General features: G+C 45.0%; 1 annotated feature.

The window, feature by feature from the left end:
* Positions 4,700–5,899: an enhancer, noted in NCBI's record as "MED14-independent group 3 enhancer chr5:4019241-4020440 (GRCh37/hg19 assembly coordinates)". NCBI's record gives its function as "activates an origin of replication core promoter dependent on BRD2, BRD4, P300/CBP and CDK7 cofactors, and independent of MED14, by STARR-seq in HCT116 cells {active_cell/tissue: HCT116}" and the evidence as "EXISTENCE:reporter gene assay evidence [ECO:0000049][PMID:35650434]".

Genomic DNA, 6,364 nt, shown 5'->3' with positions numbered 1-6,364 from the left:
CACTCTGGACTTTCCTATCACTCAGATTATTGGGATACTTCATATGATTTACCCACGAGCACCTGTAAGCATGATGACTGATAATTCCAGGATAATTTGGAAGAGTCCACACTTGACTTAGTGTTAGATTTCCTCTCATAATCCCCATCAATATTTAAAAACAATTATTTATTTGCTAGGATTGTTTTTTGTATAAATTATAGTGGAGGATGTTGTCAAGCTGATGGCCCTTTAGGAAGCTCCTGGGATCCTTGTTTCACTCTTGAACTCCCTTCCTGGGTCTCTGATGCAAGTCCCGGTTGCAGGGGGAGATTGGGGTGTGCAGACACGCACAAGCTGTTGGTGTTGTGAGAGGATGGCCTACGTGATGTAGGAGGTTACTGTGTTCTTCCTTTGCACAGTGACAGTACATAACACAGGAGTGGCTGAAAAAAGACAAGGGGCAGAGAGGAGATGGAAAAGAATGATATTTTTTCTTGTATCTGAGGGATGACCTCTTTAAGTTTCCTCTCTTTGGGAAGACAGGGAAGACCAAGAAAGAAGCCTGGTTTCTCCCTCTTTTGCTCCTCTTCACATATTTTATAGATAGCAAGTCATGCCCACACCAGCAAGACAAAGGCAGCAACTGCAACCCCAGAGCCTGACTTTGGAGACAAAGTCTCCTTCCACAGGCTCAACGGGATCCTGGGAAAAGTTGCCAATGGCTCCCAAGTGGCAATCACTGGCCCAGTGTAAATTCTATTTGTTAATGGGCAGTAAATACACACAGGAAACATAGCCATTGACCAAGAGGCTCTAAGATTGCTAAAATCTGGTCACCACATGGTCAATACAGTACAAGTCTCTGATAGCCAAGTGCTGATTCTCAAATTTGTGTCCAAAGTGCTTCACAAAATCATGTCCAAGTATCAGAAGTCATTCTCTCACTTGGAAAGCAAAATAACTAAGTGAAAATGTTTGTATCTAACTATTTCTGGAAACAGGGTTAAAAACAGAGGCATCTCCTAAAGCTTTCCCCTGAGAATCTTTTCTTTGTGATATTACACTGAGTATCAAACTATTTTGACATGGATAGGATAAAAGACCTTAGTAAGCACATTGCAAGTTGCAGGTGAAATACTGTAAGTACTGATGACAGCAGTGACAGATGAGTGAAGGCAAAGAATCTTTCAGACCTAAAAAAAAAATGCCTGGTTGATTTGACATAAGCATGGGAGAGTTTAACTTTGCAAGAAAAAGGGGCCAGGTTGTGCTTCTGAGCCTGCAGAAACTCCATGCATAGAAATGAGATGCGTGTTCCAGCTGCCCCTCTGATGGGCCTTCCATTTCCATTTGTCTTCTAGTCATCGTATGATGTGAGCGTGGCGCGGAGCCCTTTCTTCCTCTCGGAGTAGCGGGAGCCTCCACGCGCGTCCTGCTCCTCTGCAAGATCTGAGCTACCTTTTTCCTCTCTCTGCAGCATTCTCAAGACAATTGGACATTTTCTTTGTGAAATCCATTGTCCAGGTGTTAGCCTGCTGCCGCTTTGACCAAAAATGCAAATTTTAAAAACTTTTTTTTAGTTTCGTGAAGAGCAACATCTGTTTTCATTCTAAAGCTGTACTCATATTCCATCCCATAAGCTGTCCCCGGGGTTCGATTCAGCTGTACTTTGAGTCCTCGCTCAGCACATTTCCTTTCTGAATCAATAATATCATATTTGTACTTTTTAACATGAAACAGAAGACTTTTTTCTTCTCGCTCATGTGTTGCTGTGGCTTACGTGGGCAGCCAGGCGGGGTGAGCGGCCAAACCGCCTTCTGGGAATGGGGATATCTTGGACCCGCAAGGGTCCTTCACGTGAGGGCCAGGAGGAGTGATCCCAGCTTGCAGGGCCCCGGGGAGCCTGCACCACACTTATGCAACTGGGACCATCTGGGCTTGCTCTGTCTGGTGAACTCTGGACCAGAAGCCAGTGTGGCTCTTGGCCACCAGTGTCTTCCGTGGGGCGAGCAATCCTGGGAGCAGTGACAGTGACGCCGAGGACATTTCTTGTGGAATTCAGCCTGATAGCAGCAAAAACGGGGCCTCAGCGACGACCCCGGCCCCTCACCAGCCTTCCTACCTTGTCCATAGGTTACTTCTAGACCTTACAAAACCAGGGGGAGCCTTTAAGAAGGGAAAAGAAATAGAAGAGCAGAAAGAAAATAGGGAAGATGGAAATCAGGGAGTCCAGCAGGGAGAAGGAAGCTCAGAAGGGTGTTGGTTGCCCTGCGGGGGGTGAGGCCTATTCAGAGAAATTGATGCTTGCTGCTCAGATGCTATGGAAAAAACCAGGAACCCCAAAGGACCAGAGGCTTGCAGTGTCACACTTCCCCTAAGTGACTGATGAGTGGAGGCTTTCCTGCTGTGTGAGACAGGTGCTTCCCCACGGGTGGGGTGCGGCACGGAGGATTAGCAGTGAAATTAATATGGAAAAGGGCACCCTGCTGCCCACAAACCCCCTTCCTCTTCCCCACGTGCACAACTGTACTCCCGCACGGCCACGTCGCCCACCCCACTCTGCCCAGGCCCCGGGATTAGCTGTGCTGGTGGCTGCGTCTTGGCTGTCTGCAGGCCCACAAGGGCAGCGCTGGTCCCTCTGAACCTGGCCCCAGATGTTTCCTGCATCAACTTCTCAGCTGGTTTCTCTCCTGTCCACCTGCTGGATGGCCACACCCAGGACACCCTGGAAGCCACATGGTGGAGGTGGCGGGGCTGCTAACTTGGTCTCCAGAGACTGCAGCGACAACTGCCTCCGCACCTAGCCCCAGATGGGGTTTATGTGTGTGAGAAATGAAGCCTCACACAGCTGAGCCTCCGATCTGTCATGGCGGCTAGCGTTACCGTAATTAACACGGGGTAGCCTGATGTGCTTCCTTCCCATAGATATGTCCCCAGGGAGCTCTCATTTATGAAAAAGCAATGGTATTTTGAAGACTTCTTTTGATAATTCATTTTAAGTTAATTGTGTCTCTGGTACTAAGTAAGGTAACCAAAGGAAAATAAAAGCTATAAAAATTATTGACCAAATTAGCAGAATTTATACTTCTACTCTCAACTAAATTTTGTTAAAAGTTTGATTTTCTTTTATCCTTGTCTCTCATCTTTCAAAATAGAAAATATGCTTAATCTATTGCAGAACTATACAATATCAGTTTTGTATCAATTTAAAAAGACACAAAACAATGTGTATAGCTTGGAAGCACACAGACAAGCTGACAATTTGAATAACATATCTGAGGAGGAGAACCACCAACCTCAGGATGGTGTGTCATCAGAGGAGAAAGGTAGGGGGCTTGCATATGGAGCCAAGTACGAACGTGAAGTGAGGGTTTAAACTTCTTTTTCTTTTCAGAGACAAGAACTCACTCTGTTGCTAAGGCCGACCTTGAACTCCGGGGCTCAAGGGATCCTCCCATCTCAGTCTCTCAAGTAGCTTGGACTATAGGCTGGCAACACCATGCCAGGCAAAACGTGGGTTTAAACTTTGATGTCTAAAAATAAAAAATGTCCACAGCAGCATTATTCACAATAACCAAAAGGTGGAAGCAATCCAGTGACTTACAGATAGATGAACGGACATAGAAAACGTGGAATACACTTATGGTGAGATACTATTCGGCCTTAGAAAAGGAGGGAATTCTGATGCATGATACATCACGGCCGTAGCTTGAGGACATTGCCTCGAGTGAAACAAGTCCGTCACAAAAGGGCAGACGCCATAGGATGTTACTCATGAGGTACTTAGAATAGTCAAGTTCAGAGAAAGTGGTTGCAGGCACTGAGGGGAGATGGGTGCAGAATTTCAGTTTTGCAAAATGAAAAACGTTCTGGAGATAGATGGTGGGGATGGCTGCACACAATACGAATGGAACTTGACACCACAGAAGTGTACATTTAAATCTCTAAGATGGTAAATGTTGTATGTATTTTACCGCAATCAAAAATAGAATGAACTAATCAAATATTTCAGATCGTTACCATCTATGATACATGGGGTGTCACAAATGTCCTATTAGTTTCTATAATTTATCCCACGTTGGAAGGGAAGAAACAGAATTCACACGTGATGAGAACTCAGAAAAAAATTCAGATCCTTCCCTACAAAGCCGGTGGTTATCTCAACCAAATGCCAGCTCCTCCCTGGCCTGGGTCCCACTGAGAATGCTCTCAGGGCTACCCAGTTCCCTGTCACTCCGTCCGGTGGCAATGACCTGTCTGTGGGTCTCCTCTTTCCCCATCAAGAACAGCAGTGTTGCTTTGTTCATCCTGATGTCCCTTTATGTCCTTAGCCTGCTGCCTGTACACAGAAAGGGCTCTCAGAAAAGCCCATAGACTGACTAGTTAATCAGTCAATGAATAATTCTATTCTATTATCTAAACTCAAATTCTGGCCTCTCACAATGGACAAAAACCCCTTCTTAGAAACCGATGAATCACAGGCTTTTCCAGTCTGTGCTTTTGTTTTCAATTTGTTTTGTTTTGTTCTTGCAAGTCCCAAGTGACAAGGACGTTTCCAAGCTACTTCCTGGGTGGATTTATGATCAAATACAGAGCCGGTGGGCTCAGGGCATACTGAAGCAAAGCCTTCTCTTCTCCTACTGTACATGGGCAGGCTCTTGGATGCCCTTTTCCAGAATGGAGCTGCTTCAGAAGCCAGGAGAACCTGTTCATTTTCCCGGGCAGCTCCAAGAGTGAGCCTTCTAATCTCCTCTCCATCCTGCCCACTTCGATGCTGGGCAGAAAGGGCTGGGCCTTGATCTCCCAGAGGCACCATGTTCGGAACAACCCTTAGAGCCCTTCGCCTGAGTCCCCCAGGAGTCTGGGGACCCCTGCATTGACATGCAGCTCCTAACATCTGCAGTGATTGCCCATCCTTTGTTCCATGGACTCTTTGCTTTTCCTCTCCTGCTGATCCCCATGGATGACACAGCCTCACGTTGTCCAAGTGCTACAGGCAAGATCCAGTCTAGCCTTTCAGATTTGTTTCATTACCGAGTGATTGATCACTGTTTTTGTGCAACATGTTGGTTTCTCTGCTACTTCCAGTTACTAAACTAGATATTTATTTGCGCTCGTACAGCTTTGCACTTTCAACTTTCCTACATCTTTGGACATAATTAATTCAAGAAAAACTAGAAGGCACCTCAAAATTAAGCACAGATATGGCAAACCAGCCTGAACTGAAGCTGTCGTGGGGGTGACTGGCATGCAGGGTACATTCTTAATGTGCTTTCCACGGGACAAAGTGAACCTTGGGGCACAAAAAGACTTTGCTTATCTCCAAAGTTAGTAAAGACTGCGAAAGTTGAGGAGATGCTTTGCAAAAACAGTAACCTGAATGTTAAAATGCGTACCGATTCATAACATTCCTTGTTTGGAAGCATCGGGGCATGTTGGGGCATGTCCTTCTCCTTACGCCTCAAGAGCAAATCACACAAACTCCACGGAAGGGACTGACTCAAGTTGTTAGACATGGATGTGCAATTGGTCTACAGTCAGAACTTCCTGGAAACTTTATCTAAAATGTAGGCCTAAGGTCTTACAGGTAATTTTTAATTTTTTTCTTTCCAGAATTGCCCATGTTCTTTCTTCTGGTCTGGATTAAAGATTGAATTATTGAAGGATTCAGAGGGAGGCTGTTCCAGAAGCCGGAAGGATTAGATCTCACCAAAAAATCTGCTTTGGTGCAATTCCCAGAAAGATTTTAGAGCCTGAAGAGGTTTATAAAGTTGGCTGAATTTGGAATAAACATCTCCAAAATGTTGGGCCTGTTTCCAAACTGAAATGAAATTTGAGGTCCACCCATTTCACTAGTTATTAAGATAAAGAGAAATCCCCTGCTGAAACTGGATTACACAATTGGTAGTTCTTGCCATTGTTGAAACAGATCTACCCACACATTTCACGCCTGTCTTCTTTTCTAAATCCAGCTGCTGGAGAAGAAACAAAAACCTTCCTCCTTCTCCTGACAATTTGTTTGGTGTTGTCACCACTGAGAGGGCCAATGTTTGTTAATACTAATATGGAAAATTGAATATTTGTTTAGAGAAGGCACAGGACTCTAATAGGAGAAATGGGCTTTTCCTAGTAGGGTGTGACTGGCAGGACCTAGAAATCAGGTGAGACCTGGCATTGGGCATATCAGTATCCTTTCTGACTTTAGATTCAAATGTATGGTAATGAGATGTGTTAGCAAAACAAATGAGAACAATGAGACATTACAATGAGCTACAAATAATCTTTCTTTAAGATAGGGAAGAACATGAAGTTCTGCCTTCCAATTCCACCTGCCAGGGCCAAGTGCATGTCCATATGGCTTCTGACCTCTTCTTTTCTTAGG

The sequence above is a fragment of the Homo sapiens genome, chromosome 5 (assembly GCF_000001405.40).
Source record: "Homo sapiens chromosome 5, GRCh38.p14 Primary Assembly".
Classification (NCBI taxonomy): Eukaryota; Metazoa; Chordata; class Mammalia; order Primates; family Hominidae; genus Homo; species Homo sapiens.
The sequence above is the reverse complement of the archived record's forward strand: the minus strand, read 5'-3'. Positions and strand labels throughout refer to the sequence as shown.